This window comes from Homo sapiens, chromosome 16 (assembly GCF_000001405.40).
Source record: "Homo sapiens chromosome 16, GRCh38.p14 Primary Assembly".
NCBI lineage: Eukaryota > Metazoa > Chordata > Mammalia > Primates > Hominidae > Homo > Homo sapiens.
In genome coordinates, this window is record NC_000016.10 from 89,554,924 (window position 1) to 89,575,639 (window position 20,716).

A 20,716-nucleotide genomic window follows, 5' to 3' on the forward strand; every position below is an offset into this window, starting at 1 on the left:
TTTTTTTTTTGAGACAAAGTCTTGCTCTGTCACCCAGGCTGGAGTGCGATGGCGACATCTTGGCTCACTGCAACCTCTGCCTCCCGGGTTCCAGTGATTCTCCTGCCTCAGCCTCCCGAGTAGCTGCGACTGCAGGCATGCACCAACACACTCGGCTTTTCTTTTTTTTTTTTTTTTGAGATGGAGTCTCTCTCTGTCACGAGGCTGGAGTGCAGTGGTGCAATCTCAGCTTACTGCCACCTCCACCTCCCCAGTTCAAGCATTCTCCTGTCTCAGCCTCCCAAGTGTCTGGGATTACAGGCACGCGTCACCATGCCCAGCTAATTTTTGTATTTTTAGTAGAGGTGGGGTTTTACCACATTGGCCAGGCTGGTCTTGAACTCCTGACCTCAGGTGATCCGCCTGCCTCGGCCTCCCCAAGTGTTGGGATTACAGGCGTGAGCCACAGCCCCACGCTGATTATAGTGTTAGATGTAGAAAAGTTGCAGGCGCGGTGCAGAGAGCTCCCTGCCACCCTGCCTCGCTCCCGTGGAGGCCCCCATGGGGCAGTCCTCCCACCTGAGGAGCCCCCGCCGACCCGCGGTGTTGGGTCCACACGTGATTCAGATGTGCTGAGTCTCCCCAGTGTCCTTTCCGGTCTTGGGAGTCCACATGGCGTTTGATCGCCCATCTTCTTAGGCTCCTCTGGGGTGACAGTTCCTCAGACCTCCCTTGTTTTGAGGGCTCTGGCAGTTTTGAGGATTGGTCTCATGTTTTGTAGGACGTTCCTCAGTTGCGATTGTCTGATGTGTTTCTCACAGTGGGCAGAGCTGGAGTGAACGTTTTTGTCCCTGGGTTTGGTAACTGCTGCTTAGAACTCAGGAGAGGTGCACGGCTCTTTGTCCCATGTTGTGAACAGATGGGTAGGCAGTGGATAGGTAGTTGTTTCTTCAGCCTCCCCTTGTGTCTTTCAAGCGAGCACTGTGTGTCACGTGGGGATCGTGTTTGGGGCCCTTAGACTGTCGTCCCCAGCCAGCAGCAGCCGCCTCTGGGCAGGTGTGGGCGGTGCCGTCCCCGGCTGAAGCAGGCCTGCCTGTGGACCCATGCTCATCACGGTTGACAAAGCAGCTCTGCAGAGCTCGGGCACATCACAGTGGGAGCCACAACGGGAGCAAAGCTGCAGGCAAGGCTTCTCACTGGCTGAGGAGTGGTGTGTCTGCCCCGTGTATGAACTGTCAGCTACTCACACACTCAGTGGGTTGCAGAACTTAGTAAAATCCCACACCAGCCCTAGAGAGGAAGTGTTTGTCTCTTGCAATACAGCCACAGGTAAATCACCCTAGCTTCAGGGGTTACCATTTTCTTTAGAAAATCTGGAAGAGTGAGGAAAGGAGCAGGTAATTAACAACAACAACAACAAAAAATCTGGAAGAGTTCTGCCTTCACAGAAACCAGTGAAATGTGGCTGTGGCAGTGTTTTCTGTGGTCTGGCCAGGCCACCCCAGGGGCAGGTCCACCGGCACAGGACAGTCGGTGTCTCAAGTGTTTTCCAGGATCCCACCTAGAATGGCAGAAATTCACTTCCCCAACTTGAGAGGTCCCAGCTCACACAACTTCGCCTCAGATTCCTTCTCCCAGTGCTGCTCTCCTCAATCAGGAGGGTTCAGCATTTTACCCATCTCCTTCCCTGTAGACACACACGTCTTGTTTGGTGAAAGAAATTGCAGTTGCCAAAAATAAGCCAAGATTTTGAATAGAAGTAGAAAAATTAATGAGGCTGGCCGCCGGAAAATCATTTATGAGGTTGAGATGGGGGTGATTCTTCTTTCGGAGCTGCCTCCGTGCCTCCGCTTCCCTGGGAAAGTGGCCTGTCCTGGGTGTCCTGCACACAGACAGGCCCTCACGCCTCTTGCCACCTCCCCAGGACATAGAGATGCTCTGTCTGCCCTGGGGACTCACACACTGCTATGCCTGTTCTTTCTAGCTGGCAAACGCCCTTCTGGAAAAGGAAGTGATAAACTATGAGGACATTGAGGCTCTCATTGGCCCGCCGCCCCATGGGCCGAAGAAAATGATCGCACCGCAGAGGTGGATCGACGCCCAGAGGGAGAAACAGGACTTGGGCGAGGAGGAGACCGAAGAGACCCAGCAGCCTCCACTTGGAGGCGAAGAGCCGACTTGGCCCAAGTAGTTGGGAGGTGTTGGCTGCACGTGCGGGTGGTCCGGGAAGTGAGGGCTCACTCAGCCACCCTGAGTTGCTTTTCAGCTGAGGTTTGCACTTCCTCTCGCGGCCCTCAGTAGTCCCTGCACAGTGACTTCTGAGATCTGTTGATTGATGACCCTTTTCATGATTTTAAGTTTCTCTGCAGAAACTACTGACGGAGTCCTGTGTTTGTGAGTCGTTTCCCCTATGGGGAAGGTTATCAGTGCTTCCCGAGTGAGCATGGAACACTTCGAGTTCCCAGGGTTATAGACAGTCGTTCCCAGTGTGGCTGAGGCCACCCAGAGGCAGCAGAGCATTCAGACTCCAAACAGACCCCTGTTCATGCCGACGCTTGCACGACCGCCCCAGTTCCTGTGGCTCCCTCGGAATGCTAAGGGGATCGGACATGAAAGGACCCTGTGAGCCGATTGTCCTATCTCCAGCGGCCCTGTCATCCAGCTCACTCATCAATGGGGCCAGTCAGGCCCAGGCACTGGGCTCCGGAGGACTCACCACTGCCCCCTGCTGCCATGTGGACTGGTGCAAGTTGAGGACTTCTTGCTGGTCTAGTCACGCATGCAGTGTTGGGGATGCCTTGGTTTTTACTGCTCTGAGAATTGTTGAGATACTTTACTAATAAACTGTGTAGTTGGAAAATCTACATTTGCATTGTCTGGCCAGCTCTAATGCAGAGGAGCTGGTGGGCTTGCCCTGGATCACAGGGTCTTGTGGTTTCAGTTTATAATTTGAGTAATGCAGGGACTAAGTGAAAAACTCCTTCTGTAGGAATCTGGGGCCTGGACCCCGTAGGGATAGAAGACGACCCAGGACACCCTGGCCCTGAGTTCCGGGGCATGCGGCTCCCACTCCGGCCCCCTTGCTTCTGCCCTCCCTGTGGTGCAGTGACGTGAGTGGATTGTCCTCTTGTTGCTGCAACACTGAAACGCTGGCGGAGCAGTAAGGAGGCAGCCACAGGTGCAGTCACACACCCGAGGGTGGCATCTCTGAGAGATGCCTTGACCTTTGCCCCAGTTCTCCAAATCCAAAGACCAGCACATCGATGGGAGGGTTTTAGCTGGTGTAGCCAAGGGTAGTGTCCTCGGTAATTGTTTTTTTTTTGCTGTTGTGTTGGTTTTTGGCAGAGTCTTGCTCTGTCGCCCAGGCTAGAGTGCAGTGGCGCCATCTCGGCTCACTGCAGCCTCGATCTTCTGGGCTCAAGCAATCCTCCTGACTCAGCCTCCCAAGTAGCTGGGACCGCAGGCACGCACCATTATGCCCGACTAATTTTTGTACTTTTTGTAGAGACAGGGCTAGACTCGAATTTCTGAGTTCAAGTGATCCTCCTGCCTTGGCCTCCCAATGTGTTGGGATTACAGGTGTGAGCCACTGTGCCAAGCCTTTTGTGAAATTAATTTATTATTTTTTAATTATTATTTGTTTTTGGAGATGGAATCTTGCTCTGTAGTCCAGGCTGGAGTGCAGTGGCACGATCTTGGGTCAGTGCAACCTCCGCCTCCCGGGTTCACGCCATTCTCCTGCCTCAGCCTCCCAAGTAGGTGGGACCACAGGCGCCTGCCACCACGCCCGGCTAATTTTTTGTATTTTTAGTAGAGTCGGGGTTTCACCATGTTAGCCAGGATGGTCTCGATCTCCTGACCTCGTGATCTGCCTGCCTTGGGCTCCCAAAATGCTGGGATTACAGGTGTGAGCCAGCACGCCCAGCTCTTAAATTTTTCATTTTTGAGACGGAGGCTTAACTCTGTCACCCAGGCTGGAGTGCAGTGGTGCAGTCTCGACTCACTGTAACCTCTGCCTCCTGGGTTCAAGTGATTCCCCTGTCCTACTCTCTGGAGTAGCTAGGATTACAGGTGTACACAACCACACATGGCTAATTTTTGTATTTTTAGTAGAGGCGGGATTTTGCCATGTTGGCTAGGCCGGTCTCCAACTCCTGACCTCAGGTGATCCACCCGCCTCGGCCTCCCAAAGTGCTGGGATTTACAGGCATGAGCCACCGTGCCTGGCCTGTGAAATACTTTTTTTTCTTTTTGAGACTGAGTCTTGCTCTGTTGCCCAGGCTAGAGTGCAGTAATGTGATCTTGGCTCACTGCAACCTCTGCCTCCCCAGTTCAAGCAATTCTGGTGACTCAGCCTCCTAAGTAGCTAGGATTACAGGCATGCGCCACCACGCCCAGCTTTTTTGTATTTTTAGTAGAGACAGGGTTTCACCATCTTAGCCAGGGTGATCTCAAACTCTTGACCTCGGCTGATCCGCCCACCTCAGCCTCCCAAAGTGCTGGAACTGTGAAATTCTTAAAATGTGGATTACGTTGGCCAGGCACGGTGGCTCACGCCTGTAATCCCAGCACTTTGGGAGGCCCAGGCGGGCGGATCGCGAGGTCAGGAGATCGAGACCATCCTGGCTAACACAGTGAAACCCCGTCTGTACTAAAAATACAAAAAATCAGCTGGGCGTGATGGTGGGCGCCTGTAGTCCCAGCTACTTGGGAGGCAGAGGCAGGAGAATGGCGTGAACCCGGGAGGCAGAACTTGCAGTGAACAGAGATCGCACCACTGAACTCCAGCCTGGGCAACAGAGGGAGACTCCGTCTCAAAAAAAAAAAATAATAATAAGTTTTACCAGGAGGAAGCGTGGTGATTGGGTGAGGGTAGGGAAGAAAGAGGGTTATTGGGATTTAAAGGTTTCCAGGTAGCAGTAAGATGGATGGTGCCTTCACAGACTTATACTAGAGAAGAGATGGCTTTTTGTTGATGCTTTTCTTTGTGAAGGAAGGCAGTAGGCACAGCAGGTCAGAGTGTGACATTTTCAGTCGGGTACCCCTGACCTTAGAGAAGTCACCTAATCCTGGGCCAAGGGAAAGCGACAGAGGCCAACAGTAACTCCGTCTACTAAAATACCAAAAATTAGCAGGGTGTGGCGGCGGGCGCCTGTAATCCCAGCTACTCGGGAGGCTGAGGCAGAATTGCTTGAACCTGGGACGCGGAGGCTGCAGTGAGCCGAGATCGCGCCATTGCACTCCAGCCTGGGCGACGGAGCGAGACTCCGTCTCCAAAAAAAAAAAACAAAAAAAAAAACCACAAATGTTCTAAATGGATGGGAGGAGAATAAACGCTGGAACGACAAGGACGAAGGCCTTAGGTTGCGCAAACTCGGATGTCACTGAAGTTTTTCTGCCTTTGCGCTGCAAACGTGTCTCACAAATGTGAACAAACAGAATTCCTCGGGCGTCGCCCGTTCGCCGTCGGCCCAGATACCGGACTCGCGCGCGTTAGCCCGCAAGACAGGACTCGGCCGCGGCCCGCGCAGCGGCTGAAGCGCCGGGGCAGTAACGGCGGACGTCAAGCAAGTCCGGCCGTCGGTTACTCAGGGCCCAGGAATCACGGCCGCCCCGCCGCATTCTCAGCGGCAACATGTCTGCGACGGCGGCCCTAGGGCTGCCGGGAGAGCCGCGGCGACGTCAGTTCCTCCTTTCGGGGCTCTGATTGGTCAGAGCGCCCGGCGCTTCTGGTTGGCCGGCCCTGCTATCATCCCAGAGTGCATTGCGGGGCCGCTTCCTTTCCGCTCGGCTGTTTTCCTGCGCAGGAGGTGAGGGAGACTGGGTCCTGGCCTTTGGGCATCATCCAGCGCCATCGGCCTGGCGCTTCAGCCAACGCGGGAGTGGATGGGCCCCTTCTTCTTCGCAGACAGCGTTCGGCCGCTGCCCGGGCTCTAGGCGCGGCCGGACGGCCCAGTCTGGAGGGTTCGGGGCGGAGGCCCGGGGGGGTGCGCGCGCCCGGGGTCCGGCCTCTCACTCGCTCCCCTCTCGTCCGCAGCCGCAGGGCCGTAGGCAGCCATGGCGCCCAGCCGGAATGGCATGGTCTTGAAGCCCCACTTCCACAAGGACTGGCAGCGGCGCGTGGCCACGTGGTTCAACCAGCCGGCCCGTAAGATCCGCAGGTGAGCCCTGCGCTCGGGGCTGCCCCTGGGGCTCGTGCCCGCGGCTGCGCCTTGGCTTGCGGGTGGCCGATGCCAGGGCGGGGGGCGCTGTCTGCAACCGTCGCGGAGCGCTGGCCTGGCGGCCTTAGGCAAGGGTGACCGCCGCTGCGCTTCTCTCCACCAGACGTAAGGCCCGGCAAGCCAAGGCGCGCCGCATCGCCCCGCGCCCCGCGTCGGGTCCCATCCGGCCCATCGTGCGCTGCCCCACGGTTCGGTACCACACGAAGGTGCGCGCCGGCCGCGGCTTCAGCCTGGAGGAGCTCAGGGTGAGTACTGGCAGCGCTGCGGTGTCAGGAAGGCCCCGAAGTCCCCTCTGTTGGCCTCAGTCGCGTGATGACATTCTCCGGAATCGCTGTACGGCCTTGATGAAAGCACATTTGAACCCTTTTCCATCTGATTGCTGAGGCTTTTCATCCAGGCCTCGGGGCTGGAGAAAGCCCGGGCCTGTCTCCATCTCTCTCTGGTTCTGGGGCAGGTGGCCGGCATTCACAAGAAGGTGGCCCGGACCATCGGCATTTCTGTGGATCCGAGGAGGCGGAACAAGTCCACGGAGTCCCTGCAGGCCAACGTGCAGCGGCTGAAGGAGTACCGCTCCAAACTCATCCTCTTCCCCAGGAAGCCCTCGGCCCCCAAGAAGGGAGACAGTTCTGTGAGTACACGGCTCTCTGGCCGTCCTGGTGCGCGGGGACAGTGAGGCTTGGCTCCTTTATCAGTGACACCGGTCCCTGGGTCTTGCTGGGGTGAGAAGAACCAAAACATTGTGGGTGATGAGCTAAGCGGGACTGCTAAGGTTCACCTGTGCGTTTCCGCAGAGATAACCTTAATGGACATGGCAAGGCTGTGTGACTTGGAGGCAGCTTTTTCCATTGACGTTGCTCTCCCTAAAATGCTTCGTATTCCAAAATATTTCTAGAAAGACCTTGTAGGATAAGGTTGATAAAGAGTCCATTGTATACGTTTCCGGGTAGTTAAATTAGGGAACAGTTTTCTCTGCCCCGCCCGTGGTTCACAGGTAGATAACTGTCTCGTGCGTGTTGCGTCAACTCAGTAAGATATAGTCACCTAACTAATAAGGACTGTTCTTAACATTGGGGCCACAAAGTGTGTTGTAGAAAAGGCTCAGACACTGGTCCTGAACACGGAATCCCCAGGGGAAAGTTTGGGGCCAGGTGAGGGTGGAGTCCTTGCAGCAGTGCGGCCAACCCCACTTAACTCTTCTCATTCACCAACAGGCTGAAGAACTGAAACTGGCCACCCAGCTGACCGGACCGGTCATGCCCGTCCGGAACGTAAGTGAACACTTACTCAAATCCAGGCTTCAGACGAGATCAGTGGGTGAACACGTGGGTATCTGAGATGCGGGTGATGGGGGTCAGGCTTAAGAACGTTAATAGTGGCAGTTGTGGGTGTGGAGGTTTGCGGAAAGGAACATTTCTTCTTAGTTTTTACTTCTTGCAACCATGAAGCCATACATTGGGAAGTATTTTTGTTTGTTTTGTGTTTTTTTGTTGTTGTTGGAAAGAGAGTTTCTCTATGCTGCTTACATTGGTTTTGAATTGCTGGGTTTACAGGCTTGAGCCGCCATGTCCAGCTCAGGGAGGGTTTTTCTTTTTTTTTTTAAATCCCAGGGAAGGTGATTGACTCAGGGTTGCTTTTCAGCAGTACTTATGGCAGCGAACCTGACCCCCAATCCCCGGGAGGTCCTCCAGGTTCTCCTGACGCTTGGTTGTTCCCTTGCCCTTTGGTGCATGTGGGTTTAACAACCTGTCTTTCTCTTCTAGGTCTATAAGAAGGAGAAAGCTCGAGTCATCACTGAGGAAGAGAAGAATTTCAAAGCCTTCGCTAGTCTCCGTATGGCCCGTGCCAACGCCCGGCTCTTCGGCATACGGGCAAAAAGAGCCAAGGAAGCCGCAGAACAGGATGTTGAAAAGAAAAAATAAAGCCCTCCTGGGGACTTGGAATCAGTCGGCAGTCATGCTGGGTCTCCACGTGGTGTGTTTCGTGGGAACAACTGGGCCTGGGATGGGGCTTCACTGCTGTGACTTCCTCCTGCCAGGGGATTTGGGGCTTTCTTGAAAGACAGTCCAAGCCCTGGATAATGCTTTACTTTCTGTGTTGAAGCACTGTTGGTTGTTTGGTTAGTGACTGATGTAAAACGGTTTTCTTGTGGGGAGGTTACAGAGGCTGACTTCAGAGTGGACTTGTGTTTTTTCTTTTTAAAGAGGCAAGGTTGGGCTGGTGCTCACAGCTGTAATCCCAGCACTTTGAGGTTGGCTGGGAGTTCAAGACCAGCCTGGCCAACATGTCAGAACTACTAAAAATAAAGAAATCAGCCATGCTTGGTGCTGCACACTTGTAGTTGCAGCTCCTGGGAGGCAGAGGTGAGGGATCACTTAACCCAGGAGGCAGAGGCTGCACTGAGCCAGGATCACGCCACTGCACTCTAGCCTGGGCAACAGTGAGACTGTCTCAAAAAAAAAAAAAGAGACAGGGTCTTCGGCACCCAGGCTGGAGTACAGTGCCACAATCATGGCTCACTGCAGTCTTGAACTCATGGCCTCAAGCAGTCCTCCCTCAGCCTCCCAAGTAGAGGGGTTTATAGGCACGAGACCCTGCACCCAACCTAGAGTTGCCTTTTTTAAGCAAAGCAGTTTCTAGTTAATGTAGCATCTTGGACTTTGGGGCGTCATTCTTAAGCTTGTTGTGCCCGGTAACCATGGTCCTCTTGCTCTGATTAACCCTTCCTTCAATGGGCTTCTTCACCCAGACACCAAGGTATGAGATGGCCCTGCCAAGTGTCGGCCTCTCCTGTTAAACAAAAACATTCTAAAGCCATTGTTCTTGCTTCATGGACAAGAGGCAGCCAGAGAGAGTGCCAGGGTGCCCTGGTCTGAGCTGGCATCCCCATGTCTTCTGTGTCCGAGGGCAGCATGGTTTCTCGTGCAGTGCTCAGACACAGCCTGCCCTAGTCCTACCAGCTCACAGCAGCACCTGCTCTCCTTGGCAGCTATGGCCATGACAACCCCAGAGAAGCAGCTTCAGGGACCGAGTCAGATTCTGTTTTGTCTACATGCCTCTGCCGGGTGCCGGTATTGAGGCACCCAGGGAGCTGTTACTGGCGTGGAAATAGGTGATGCTGCTACCTCTGCTGCTGCACTCACAGCCACACTTGATACACGATGACACCTTGCTTGTTTGGAAACATCTAAACATCTAGTAGATGACTTGCAGGCTGTTGGCTACCAGTTTCCTGTCTGAGGTGTATATGTTAACTTCGTGATCAGTTTGTATGTTTGGGACTCTTGTCCTATGTAAAGTTAAGGTGGGCCGGGTGCAGTGGCTCACGCCTGTAATCCTAACACTGGGAGGCCGAGGCGGGTGGATCACCTGATGGTGAAACCTCATCTCTACTGAAAATACAAAAATTAGCTGAGTGGTGACACACGCCTGTAATCCCAGCTACTTGGTAGGCTTGAACCCAGGAGGCAGAGATTGCAGTGAGCCGAGCTGCACCACTGTGCTCCAGCCTGGGTGACAGCGAGACTCAGTCTCAAAAAAAGTTGTACAAGGTGGATGGTTGGAAGCTTGAGCCTAGGCTCGAATCCCTCTCACGTGAGAGGGCCTGAAGATTTCTGGTGGATTCCAACCTGGCTGAAGACTGGCCGTGGGGGGTGCAGGGGTCTCCAGCGCTCTGCCCTCCAGCCTGCTTCCTCCCTGCCCACACCGCACTAGGGGAAGGGCCTTTCCTGCTGCCTGCGGGGCCGCACCTGGAGTAGGTAATGCCATGTGGTGACGTGAATGGAGCAGAGGTCTGTGCCCCATCACACCGCCTTGCTGTTTTTACTGTGGGACAAAAGCACTCTGATCTGCGTGTTCCGGGGGCCCTCCTACCAGCCGACTTGACGGGAAGTCAGGGTTCAGGTATCATCTGTGCACCTGGGGCGGGGTAGTCTGCACTGAACCTGCCAGAGTCCCCTCCTCATTTCACTGAAAGTCACAGTCTCCAGGGCTGTGTTGCTAACCTTACGTTCTCTCCGTTTGCTTAATCTATTAAGAGCCCTAACAGGAGAGGATGGGCTTTCTCTGTTGTCTGGGGCCCTGCTGTTGGCCGGTGCTCTTAGCAAGAGGTCATTTTTCTAGGTTGCGCTGGGACATTGTGAGTTTGGTGAGGGTCATGGATGTGGGCTGGGCTGGGCTGGGCTGGGCCGGGCTGCCTGCTGCCTGCTGCTCCCCTACCTGAAATGCAGCTAGTGCGGCTCTGCCCTTCCTGGGGCTGAGGAAGGCTTCTGCAGGATAGCTGGGGGGCTGGGCAGGTGGGTGAGGCAGCCTCCCTGCTGACACTCAGTCCTTGTAGCTGGAGCAAGATCTCCTGATCCAGGTACGGGCCTGTCTGCTCCAAGAAAGACTCTGCCACCAGATGCAAAGGGGCCCTTTGTTTTAACTTAGTCCCTGGGGACCGCCTGATTCAGCACCTGTCGGCCCAGGATACCCCGCTGGTGGGGACAAGTGCCTGAGTGTGGGCCGTGCCCGAGTGTGGCCATCCCTGAGTGGGGCCGTCCTGACTAGGAAGTGGCTTTTCAGTTGTGATGTGTGGGCCTGACCTAGGGGGCGCTGTGGAACCCGGGCTGGAACCAGCCCTCTGTGCCAGGCCGCAGACAGGTTCCGCCGGCCCTGAGGGGCAGCTGCCATGGCGTGGGTCACTGGGAGCTGAGAGGAAGGGCCCCCACCGCACCTCAGGCAAAGCGGCTCTGGGAACACCTTGATTTCGTCCATGTGAGCCGTCCCAGGGAGGGCAGCCAAGCTGTGAAGCCTGAGAAACTGACCTGTGTGCCACGAGCTTGTGGTCTGCTGCCCGGTGGAGGAAGTGCAGGTGCGCCCAGGCTCCTCATTCCGTTTTGCAGGATTCCTTCGGGGTGTGAGCATTTCCTATTCAGCCTGTCGCCCCCGGGGAGCACGGGCTGGCTCTGTGGTGCCCGTGGCCTTTTGTAGAAGCGTTGGTTTTACGGCAGGTTCATCTCTGGGGCAGCCTCCCACAGTGGGTGGGGCTTTGCCAGCAGTGCCCACGGGGGTCATGGGGCCAGGCGCGCTCCGGCGCCTGCAGAACTGATCGGGGATAGTCTCAGGAGGCGCTAGTCACGTGCCCCGGTGATCGGGGATAGTCTCAGAAGGCGCTAGTCTCCTGCCCCGGTGATCGGGGATAGTCTCAGGAGGCACGAGTCGCCTGCCTCGGTGATGCACCGTTTCTCACACCGGCTGCTCTGGCCCGAGCTAAAGGGGAAGACGTGTGCGGATAGGAGCTGCACACAATTTTCCTCCATGTATTGTTTATTTTGCTTTTTCTTTTGGCTAGACATTAGGAATTTCAGTTTTCCCAAGTTGTATTTTTCCTTTTCTATTTTAAAATTATCATGCAGGGCTGGGTGAGGTCGCTCACGCCTATAGTCTCAAAACTTTGGGAGGCTGAGGGGGGAGGATGGCATGAGCCCAGGAGTTTAAGGCTGCAGTGAGCCGAGATCGCTCCACTGTCCTCCAGCCTGCATGACAGAGCGAGACCCTATCTCAGGAAAAAAAAAAACAAAACTATTATGCAGTAGTTTCGACCCTGGAAGACGAGTGTGCATCTTTGAGTTGTAACACGTGTACCTCGCCCATCCAGGCGTAGTTTCATTTGGAATCTGGTTATCCTGTAGTTGCTTTGTTAAAAATATATGTAATTGCAAATCATTTAAAAAGGAAAAAAATAGGCCAGGTACAGTGGCTCCTGCCTGTAATCCCGGCACTTCAGGAGGTCGGGGACGGCAGATCGTTTGAACCTAGGAGTTTGAGACTAGCCTGGGCAACATGGCAAAGACCCATGGCCACCAAAAAAAAAAAGATATTAGCCGTCATGGTGGCGTGCGCCTATCATCCCAGCTACTCAGGAGGCTGAGGCGGGAGGATGGCCTGAGCCCGGGAGGTCGAGGCTGCAGTGAGCCGAGACTGTGCCACTGCCCTCCATCTTGGGTGACAGAGTGAGAGACCCCGTATCAAAAAAAAAAAAAAAGAAAAGAAATAATACTGATTAGAACTGTTGTAATTTAGAAATTACAGTCATTTTAGGTTATTTGGTGTTTTTTTCATTTGAACCAGAGAAGTGGGTACCTGCATTCTTTGCTCTATTTTTGTGTGTCTCCGTATATTCGTTTTTTGTTTATAATTAGTTGCATTTATTTTTATGGTTTCTGTATCTTAAAATTTTTTTTTAAGTTATAGAAGAAATACATGCTATCAGCAAAAAAAAAGAAAAAAAAAGTCCAGCTACACAGAAGCGAGGAGTGCGAAGCAAATAGCCGCTTCACGTCCCACACCCTGGCAGCAGCTGCGCCCGGGTCTGTCCGGAGATGGTGTGTGCAAGCGTATTCCAGCACAAGAATCTGGACTTCTGTTTCTTATGAAAGCAGCTGATGCCACACTGTGTGCCCTGTGCCGTACTGTGCCAGGCACCTGGACGGACCTGGCTTCTCCCTGTGCCTCTGAAGGGCGGACGGCGTTGTGTCTGCGCAGTCCTGCAGGCGGGAGAACTGGAGTGCTGCTGTCTTCATTTGCTCACAGGGTTGAGCATCTCCAGTTACTGGGACCTTCTTGTCTCTCCGCGGGGCCCCGTTACCTCCTTCCTCTCGTGTTTCATTGTGATGTTCATCATTTTCTTGAACTGCAGCTGGTCTTTATATGTTAAGGAACTTTTGCCTTCTATCACCTGTTGACAACATTTCTTTCCCTGCTTGCTCTTTTCCTTTTGACTCGGAGAGCAAATGAGATGTTCTTTCAGGCGATGGTGTGGTGGGATGGACCGCAAACTCAGCATTGATAGTGGATGTTGGTCATTCTTTTTGACTTTCCAACATCAGAACCCACTTGGGGAATGGGACGCAGAACCCCTCCCTCTGCAGAAGCTGCCGCACTGCCCAGGCTCCTTGCGGTGAGCTGAGCCCAGGCCCTGCCGGCCCCACACTTTGTTGATGGCTGTGAGGCCGAACCATAGGTCTGTGGGCAGAAAAGTCACATCATGTGTCCCGGGTGAGCGCTGAGTCCAGGCGAGGCAGGTGCCCTCGCTGTCCTCACTGTGGGCTTCGGGGCACTGCCCTGCAGTTTGAGGAATTTCCTGTTAACCTTTTCTCTTCCTCAGTCGGCCGGAAGAGTTTTCAGTTGCTTAGAAGCCCACTGCCGATGCTGAGGGCACTGACCAGCCCCGGCCCTGGGCCCTCTGTGTGGCTCACTCAGCAGGTGTGCTGCCCAACACACCAGGCGCCGTGAGAGCAGTGGGCCACAAGGAACGAGGCGGGGGCTGATGGGGAGCAGGTGCTGGGCAGACAGGCGGCCGCAGGGGAGGCGGAAGGGTCACCTAAAGGCAGGGAGATGAAGGGAGGAAGGTATTTGTTCACGAGTTAGGGGCAGTTCACAAGATAAGAGCAATTTACAAGTTAAGGGCACCTGCTGTCTCCCAGGCACGGCCCCAAGCTGGGACCACAACTGAACCAAACTACTCCCCTGCCCTTCAGCGTGTCTCTGCAAATGTTCAGCTTCATCTTGGCCGGCCGGGTGCAGTAGCTCATGCCTGTAATCCCAGCCTTTGGGAGGCCATGGTGGGTGGATCACTTGAGCCCAGGAATTCAAGACCAGCCTGGGCAACATAGTGAAATCCTGTCTCTACAAAAATTTTAAAAGTTGGCTGGGTGCGGTGGCTCATGCCTGTAATCCCAGCACTTTGGGAGGCCAAGGCGGGCCGATCACAAGGTCAAGAGATGGAGACCAGCCTGGCCAATACAATGAAACCTGTCTCTACTAAAAATACGAAAATTAGCTGGGTGTGGTGGCACACGCGTGTAGTCCTAGCTAATCAGGAGGCTGAGGCAGGAGATTCGCTTGAACCCGGGAGGCGGAGGTTGCAGTGAGCAGAGATTGTACCATTGCACTCCAGGCTGGGCAACAGAGGGAGACTCTCAAAAAAAAAAAAAAAATTAGGTGTGGTGGCGGGCGCCTGTAGTCCCAGCTACTCAGGAGGCTAAGGCAGGAGAATCGCTTGAACTAAGGCAGAGGTTGCAGTGAGCTGAGATCACGCCGCTGCACACCAGGCTGGGCGACACAGCGAGACTGTCTAAAAATAATCAAGCATCTCTTCCCTTGACCTTCCCCACGTTTCCATTCCTGACACGGTCTGGCCTCTTACCTGTACCTGGGCAGGTGCCTCATGGGCTGCGGCTAGGGGACCTGTGGAGAAGACGAGACACTGGCAGAGCCTGGTGCCAGAAGGGACCCCGGGAGCTCCTCCCTTTCCCACAGCATCAGAGTGGGCAGGGGGAGGGCTGTGGTGGTGGAGGGTCTGGGTGCCTTCTCTGGAGGTGGCCCAGGGAGAGAGGGGGTTGGCATCCCATGGCCTTCTCCAGACCCCCTTCCTGGGCGGCTGGATGTCACAGCCAGTCTCAGGGGCCTCCTGCACTGGTGAGAGGGGCAGGGCAGTAGAGGGTGTGTCAGACTTGGCCCGGCCATTGTCCAGCCTCCCCATTGTATTACCCTCAGGCTCCCCATCTGCAGCGGTACCACCAAGGCATGGTGCTGGGGGACAGTCTGATGTGGCACGGTCCCTGGCAGCACCTGCCCTTCTGAGTAACTCCCCAGAAAGGGTGGTGCCTCCCGGGGAGGAGGGAGAAGAACTAGGCTATTGATGAAAGGGACCAGAGAGCGGAGGGAAGTGTCCGAGCAGCCTTCCAGGCCGGCTTTTTACCAAGAATAGCATCAAAAGCCTCCGATGACTCAAGCAAGACTAAAACCAGGACGTCCATCAGTTGGGATGGCCTGAGGACACCGGCCCCGGGGACACAGCTCCTGCCGGCCATCACCTCCCACAGGACCAGAGTCTCCTCCGGGCCTCTCTGCTCCTGCCCTGGCCCTGTGGTCAGTAGCCACCCATCTGGTGCCCATCTCCTGACGCTCACCCTTGTGCGAGCCCCTCCCTCAAGCACGGGCTGGACGCAACACTGTGCTCTCCCAGAAGCCTCCTTTGACCTTGGAGCACACTGGCTGAGGGGACAGGTGGGCACCAGGAAGGCGTGTGGCCACAGAGGCGCCAGCGCCAAGCAGAGGGGTGGCACTGGGGTAGAGAGAGCTGGTCTCAGAAGAGCCTCAGTGGAGCAGGGCGGTGGCGACACAGGCTTAGAAGCCAGTGACCCCACAGCTGCTGTCTGAGGGGTTGGCCCCCCAGTCGGGTACAGAGCCCCCAGCAGCAGTGGCACCATTAGCCGGGGGCCTTCGCCCAGGGCACAGCCTGCTTGTCATGAGCAGGTGGCACTCACAGGCCCGTGGGTTTCCGAGGCCCTGCTCAGCTTGGGCTTCAGCTGCTCATCCGAGTGCACGGACCTCGTGGACAGCAGCCACCCAGTGTCAGGCCTCCCAGCAGCACCTCAGGATTATAGGAGTTGGTTCTGGGTAGTCGACAGGACACTGGAAGGAAGTGAGGTCCAGAGGGTTAGCGTGGTGGGGAGGTCGGGCAAGTCTGCAAAAGGGCAGCCTGGGAGGAGGCAAGTGGGCACAGGTGGTCTGCGGGCTGGGGAGGTGGTCCCTGGGCACAGGAGGAGGTGAGCGGGGATTGGAGGAGGTGAGCGGGCACGGGAGGAGGTGAGCGGGGACGGGAGCAGGTGAGCAGGCACGGGAGGAGGTGAGCGGGCACGGGAGGAGGTGAGCGGGGCACGGGAAGAGGTGAGCGGGGCACGGGAGCAGGTGAGCGGGGACGGGAGGAGGTGAGCAGGCACGGGAGGAGGTGAGCGGGGCACGGGAGGAGGTGAGCGGGGACGGGAGGAGGTGAGCGGGGACGGGAGGAGGTGAGCGGGGACGGGAGGAGGTGAGCGGGGCACGGGAGGAGGTGAGCGGGGCACGGGAGGAGGTGAGCGGGGACGGGAGGAGGTGAGCGGGGCACGGGAGGAGGTGAGCGGGGCACGGGAGGAGGTGAGCGGGGACGGGAGGAGGTGAGCGGGGACGGGAGGAGGTGAGCGGGCACGGGAGGAGGTGAGGGGCACGGGAGGAGGTGAGCGGGGCACGGGAGGAGGTGAGCGGGGCACGGGAGCAGGTGAGCGGGCACGGGAGGAGGTGAGCGGGGCACGGGAGGAGGTGAGCGGGGCACGGGAGGAGGTGAGCGGGGACGGGAGGAGGTGAGCGGGGACGGGAGGAGGTGAGTGGGTACAGGCGGTCCGGGGGCCGGGGAGGTGGTCCAGGGGCCCAGGGCCACTGCTGGTCAGCAGGCTTGGCAGTCAGAAAGAAGAGAGGACCCAGGAGTGGGGACAGTGGGACCAGGAGCCCAAGTCCTGGGGACTCTGGGATGGCTGGTGCCTGAGTCTGAGCACAGAGGGGTCCTGGCTCAGGAGGGCCAAAGGGGGTGAGGAAGAGCCAGTCCCGGACGGTGTCCCCAGCGTGCAGTCCTGGGCAGGGACCCTGACCCCTGGGTCTCACTGCACAGGGGCTGTGAAGTCTGGGCCCCTCCACAGTAAGTGCTCCTGAGGGTCTGCTGGGAACATTCTGGGCAAGGGCAGCAAAGCCATCAAGCCACGCCGGGGGCTGGACGGGCGAAGGAAGGCGTGAGGGCTGGGTTCTGAGCGGGGTTCCAGTTCCACCCCAGGGCCTGGACGGGCCGAGGAAGGTGTGAGCGCTGGCTTCTGAGCTGGGTTCTGGGTTCCAGCTCCACCCCTGCTGTGTGGTCTCAGCCACCACAACGCCCTCTCTGAGCCATGTCTCCCGCCAGCAGTGGTGTCTCCTGCTGGGCAGAGATGCTGGGGGCTGGGATGGTCTGCTCCTGGCTGCATGCAGACAAGGGGCAGGAGGGATGGCGGCCCGGGGCTGCACGCGAGAACGCGCCTGGAGGAGAAGGGAGTCTCGAAGAAGGGGGTCTCATCCACACCCAGAAGACGGTGTTGGGGGAAGGAAGTGGAGGAAGGGGACCCCCTGGTTGGAACATATGTTGCCCTGGGGTGGCCTGTGTCTGCGCTTGTGTGTCTTGGGTGCCTGGCGTGTCTGCGTGTGGGCTGTCTCTCCATGAGTACGTGCACGTGTCTGCGGTATTTGGCACACGTGTGTGGCGTGTGCTCGTGCGTGCCTGCATGTGCTGAGTGTGGTGGAGGAGAAAGTCCCCCTAATCAGTCCCCAGGTCTCTGAGGCTGTAACAAGGTCAGCGAGGAACTGAGACTGGCCAGGTGTGTTGTCTCAGCCAACAGCCGGCGTGGCCGCCTCTGGGCATGGTTGATTTCTCAAATAAGATCAGCATCAGATCCTGCAGGAAGACAATCTGATCCAGACAGGTTGCAGATGTTCTAAGATAAAATAACCTTTCTTTAGGAGGAAAGAAAAGAAGAGGGTAGGTTTGCAACCAGATTAAAAAAAGCAGCACCCATCCGGACACGTGGAGAGCTGTTTCCTGTTAAACAATCCTGTTAGTAACCCCCACCCTCTGCAATTTCTTGTTTTGAGGCAACTTCTGGGACAATCTCTCCACATGAAGGGCAGGTTCGAGGACCCTGCATTCAGGGGTGGGGACCGAGCCCCGGACCGGTCCACTGGAGCACACCAGCTGTGTGCTCAGGACGGCCAGGGAGGAGGCCATGGACTCTGGACCTGGCTCAGGGACAAAGGGCTGTCAGAGTGTGGGGGAGAGCACTGGCTCCAGGGGATGTGCCTCAAGGCAGTAGCAGTGGGCCTGGGGTCTGCCGGGAACCTCTGGAGGCCCTGGACAGGTTTCCCTGCTCCCGGTTGGCCTCGTGGCCAGTGTTACTGAAATGGGAGATGGGGACTCTGTGACTGATGGAGATGACACCCTCGAGGCAGATCCAGGACCAGAGAGCAGCCACCAGAGCTGCGTTTCATTCGCTGATCCGCACTTCATTCATCCGCCTGGAGTTTGTTGTCTTAGACTCTGTGTTGGGACCTGTACTGGTGTTAACTCAGGCCTCGGTGGACTCCTGGTCCAGGGTGGATGAGGTCATGGGCAGCACAGCCCTGGACAGTGGAACTGATGTTGTGGACGTGTGGGCCGGGAGCCCAGGGAGGGATGTTGGGTGGCGGTTCAGACTGGGCTGGGCTTTGCAGGGTAGGTAGGGGTCGGGTGGTGGGAGAGGCTGAGGCAGAGGCACTTGGGCCTGAAAAGTATCTGAGTCCTGGATGCCAGGAAGCCACACAGGGCACTTGGGCACAGATATGTCATTGCTGCTCCTAAAATTGATCATGTGTAAGCCTCTGGATAGCCGTGGGGGTCGGCACTAATCAGAGGGTCTCATAGGTAACCCAGTGATGAGGGGATCCAGGCTAACCATTGAATGCAATATTGTCAATAAGAAAGAAAAAAGCAGGTTACAGAACAGAAACCATCTGCACCAACACCTATGGTGCTCCAACCGTGCCAGGCAGGGTCCCGGGCCTGGGCCGCGTGATGAGCCTGGCGTGGGGTCCCGGGCCTGGCCCGCGTGATGAGCCTGGCGTGCAGATACTGAAGAGTCCTCTCAAGTGTGGGAAGGGCTCTGAGAGTTAGGCACCTTTTTTTTTTTTTTGACAATTAAAAGAAATTTGCACATAAAAAAAAAAACCTGGAGGGTTAGATGTGGGGAGGTGATGGGCTGCTTTGGGGTCTGGAAATTTGTTTTTACTCCCTATCTGCATTGTCTAATATTTCAACAAGGAACACGGTTATTATTCCTGCGTGTATGTGTGTGGATCTCATTTCCTGTGTCTGGCCCTGCAGGGAAAGCTGGGAGGGGGAGCCTTGGAAAGATGGCTCCACATGGCCTGCGGGGTCCTTCCATTGTACCTGGGCCTACTGCGGGCTGATCCCTGAGCAGGGGCAGGCAGCGTCCAGACACCAGTGCCACAGGGGAATCGGCTTTTCCTTCTGTGGTTTCTCTCCATTAGAGCAGGCTGCAGTCAGGGCTGTCAGTCAGGAGACAGCAAGCCGGCCGAGGGCTGTGGCTGGAGATCCCAAATCGCCCTGGGCTTCAGAGACTCAAATTCCCAAACTCTGTGATCTTTCTTGGCTCCCTGCGTCCTTTGCTTGGAAGCCATCTGTTATTTTGCCAGGGTGCCGCTATGTGACAGCCAAGGGCTGAACTGGGGTGTTCCAGGTTTAAGCCGGGTACCCCTCAGACAGCCTGGTGGACCTCAGGCCTCACGCCACACTGCAGACGAGCAAACCTCAGGGCGGTGGTGAGGAGCTTTCGGGTGAGGTCAAGGCAGGAAGCGGAGCTTGGTCTGGGGAAAACTGTCCCAGGGCTGCTGGAACCGAGCGGGAGGCACGGCCTGCAGGAGCTGCCTGGGCGCCCGCACCCTTTGCCTGAATTTCGCATCCTTTTCCCATGGAAGTGGTTGGGGACCGAGGATGTGGCCTCCCGGCAGCCTGGAAGGCTGGGCTGAGGAGGACACAGGGCCGGGAAGGCCCAGACTGGTCCCTAGAGAGCGGGACTGGCCTCTGCCCACTGCGGGCTTCAGGGAGGAGGCGCAGAGGCCGGGGAGACAGCAGATGGGGCCCTGCAGGCCTCGCTGCGCCCTGACCTGTTCCTCGCCTCTTTAGCCAACCTCCCGGGAAGGCAGGAGCCGGTCTCCATGGCCTCTCCCGGCCCTGCCAGCCCCGTGGGGCCTCCCCGCCCTGCAGCCGCGCCCGGCGCCATCCCGCCGTCCGACCGCGAGGGGACGCCGCTGGCCGCGTTCCTCCTCCCAGGCCGAGGCTGCCTGTGCTGCCTCCCGCCGGCGGGGCCCTGAGCCTCCTCGCCCTGTCGGCGGCGGTCCCCTCTGACCGCAGGGTCTTCTTCTAGAGTCCTGATCGCCGAGGCTGAGCGGAGGCGCCCGGTCTTCCCGCCTCTTCAGTCTTAATGTCTCCCTCACCCTCGCCCCCCACCCCCGTGGCTTTTGGCGAGGTCCGTGCCCTATTTTTAGGCAGAAATCGGCAAAAAGAGTGGACTGCGAGGTGGTTTCTGTCCCCGCCGACGCCTCCTCTTCCGCTGCTCCCTCCCCCGGGACCGGTGATGGGGAAGGTGGGGGAGTGAGTTCAGGGCGGAGCGGGCCCACCCCCCACGGAACCCAGGCCTGCCCCGCCCCGCCCCGGCCTCGGGGGACTGGTGTGGACCGTGCCCCGCGGACCCCTCGGAATCAGACCGCGATTCAGCCCTCGGCCCCCCGGGACGGTCCTTCCAGCCCCAGACGAGCGCGGCGCCTGCACACAACAGGCGCCCACTAAATGCTTGTTGATGGAGGTGGCGAGTACCCGAAACCAGCGGAGCCTGGAAATGGGATCCTAGAGATCCGGGAAGGGCGCGGGGATCTGGTGCCAAGCTGGGGTCCCCCTTTTGCCTCCCCTAGTGTCTGCCTGGGTCCGAACCCGGGCTCAGGCCCCGCGCAGCTCGGAGCCTCCAGCCCGGAGCCGGTCCCTGGGCCGGGGATGCGCACAGCCGGGGAGGGCGCGCCCGACCTGACCCCAAAGCTATCAGTTGGGGGGGGGGTCCCCGGGGAATTAGAAGCTGTCTCCTCCCGGGCAT

General features: G+C 57.2%; 2 protein-coding genes and 1 non-coding gene across 8 annotated transcripts in view, besides 9 other annotated features; all 3 read left to right on the forward strand.

Annotated features, from left to right (window-relative positions):
- Positions 1–2,845, forward strand: part of SPG7 (SPG7 matrix AAA peptidase subunit, paraplegin) — a 49,381-nt gene extending 46,536 nt beyond the window's left edge. For 2 of the 4 annotated variants that reach the window (NM_001363850.1, XM_047434537.1), the window contains 2 exons: positions 955–1,162; positions 1,964–2,845. In NM_001363850.1, coding sequence (NP_001350779.1) covers positions 955–1,162; positions 1,964–2,004 — 249 coding nt within the window. In that variant the 3' untranslated portion in view covers positions 2,005–2,845. The remainder of the gene's footprint in view (positions 1–954; positions 1,163–1,963) is intronic. The other 2 variants (NM_003119.4, XM_047434540.1) reach the window with 2 other exon arrangements.
- Positions 4,201–4,420: a silencer, noted in NCBI's record as "fragment chr16:89625532-89625751 (GRCh37/hg19 assembly coordinates)". NCBI's record gives its function as "represses an EF-1alpha promoter that drives an FKBP-Casp9 reporter gene in an ReSE screen in K562 erythroleukemia cells {active_cell/tissue: K562}" and the evidence as "EXISTENCE:reporter gene assay evidence [ECO:0000049][PMID:32094911]".
- On the forward strand, positions 5,734–11,906 carry RPL13 (ribosomal protein L13). Of its 3 annotated transcripts, NM_001243131.1 has the most exons (7): positions 5,734–5,789; positions 6,017–6,140; positions 6,304–6,445; positions 6,655–6,675; positions 6,817–6,828; positions 7,412–7,468; positions 7,961–11,906. In NM_001243131.1, exons 2-7 carry the CDS (start codon positions 6,037–6,039, stop codon positions 8,117–8,119), a joined length of 495 nt encoding a protein of 164 aa, NP_001230060.1. In that variant the 5' UTR covers positions 5,734–5,789; positions 6,017–6,036; the 3' UTR covers positions 8,120–11,906. The 3 variants fall into 3 exon arrangements, with proteins under 3 accessions (NP_001230060.1, NP_000968.2, NP_150254.1); NM_000977.4 differs by having other exon boundaries at positions 5,759–5,789; positions 6,655–6,828; positions 7,961–9,619; NM_033251.2 differs by having other exon boundaries at positions 5,788–6,140; positions 6,655–6,828.
- Positions 5,742–5,851: an enhancer, noted in NCBI's record as "active region_11417". NCBI's record gives its function as "activates an Ori minimal core promoter by ATAC-STARR-seq in GM12878 lymphoblastoid cells {active_cell/tissue: GM12878}" and the evidence as "EXISTENCE:reporter gene assay evidence [ECO:0000049][PMID:35858748]".
- Positions 5,962–6,231: a silencer, noted in NCBI's record as "silent region_7913". NCBI's record gives its function as "represses an Ori minimal core promoter by ATAC-STARR-seq in GM12878 lymphoblastoid cells {active_cell/tissue: GM12878}" and the evidence as "EXISTENCE:reporter gene assay evidence [ECO:0000049][PMID:35858748]".
- Positions 6,292–6,341: a silencer, noted in NCBI's record as "silent region_7914". NCBI's record gives its function as "represses an Ori minimal core promoter by ATAC-STARR-seq in GM12878 lymphoblastoid cells {active_cell/tissue: GM12878}" and the evidence as "EXISTENCE:reporter gene assay evidence [ECO:0000049][PMID:35858748]".
- SNORD68 (small nucleolar RNA, C/D box 68) lies at positions 6,507–6,578 on the forward strand. The gene has a single exon (NR_002450.1). It is a non-coding gene; the product is annotated as a small nucleolar RNA, C/D box 68 (small nucleolar RNA).
- Positions 9,445–10,187: an enhancer, noted in NCBI's record as "H3K4me1 hESC enhancer chr16:89630776-89631518 (GRCh37/hg19 assembly coordinates)". NCBI's record gives its function as "activates a minimal SCP1, AML or CMV promoter by ChIP-STARR-seq in primed H9 embryonic stem cells {active_cell/tissue: H9 hESC(primed)}" and the evidence as "EXISTENCE:reporter gene assay evidence [ECO:0000049][PMID:30033119]".
- Positions 10,188–10,931: an enhancer, noted in NCBI's record as "H3K4me1 hESC enhancer chr16:89631519-89632262 (GRCh37/hg19 assembly coordinates)". NCBI's record gives its function as "activates a minimal SCP1, AML or CMV promoter by ChIP-STARR-seq in primed H9 embryonic stem cells {active_cell/tissue: H9 hESC(primed)}" and the evidence as "EXISTENCE:reporter gene assay evidence [ECO:0000049][PMID:30033119]".
- Positions 19,041–19,298: a silencer, noted in NCBI's record as "fragment chr16:89640372-89640629 (GRCh37/hg19 assembly coordinates)". NCBI's record gives its function as "represses an EF-1alpha promoter that drives an FKBP-Casp9 reporter gene in an ReSE screen in HepG2 liver carcinoma cells {active_cell/tissue: HepG2}" and the evidence as "EXISTENCE:reporter gene assay evidence [ECO:0000049][PMID:32094911]".
- Positions 19,759–19,988: a silencer, noted in NCBI's record as "silent region_7915". NCBI's record gives its function as "represses an Ori minimal core promoter by ATAC-STARR-seq in GM12878 lymphoblastoid cells {active_cell/tissue: GM12878}" and the evidence as "EXISTENCE:reporter gene assay evidence [ECO:0000049][PMID:35858748]".
- Positions 20,229–20,298: a silencer, noted in NCBI's record as "silent region_7916". NCBI's record gives its function as "represses an Ori minimal core promoter by ATAC-STARR-seq in GM12878 lymphoblastoid cells {active_cell/tissue: GM12878}" and the evidence as "EXISTENCE:reporter gene assay evidence [ECO:0000049][PMID:35858748]".

Coding starts and splice junctions, on each gene's coding strand:
- RPL13 (NM_000977.4), top strand. CDS start 6,037: ATGGCGCCCAGCCGGAATGGCATGGTCTTGAAGCCCCACTTCCACAAG. Junction 6,141..6,303: donor CCGGCCCGTAAGATCCGCAG/GTGAGCCCTGCG, acceptor TCTCTCCACCAG/ACGTAAGGCCCGGCAAGCCA. Junction 7,469..7,960: donor CGGTCATGCCCGTCCGGAAC/GTAAGTGAACAC, acceptor TTTCTCTTCTAG/GTCTATAAGAAGGAGAAAGC.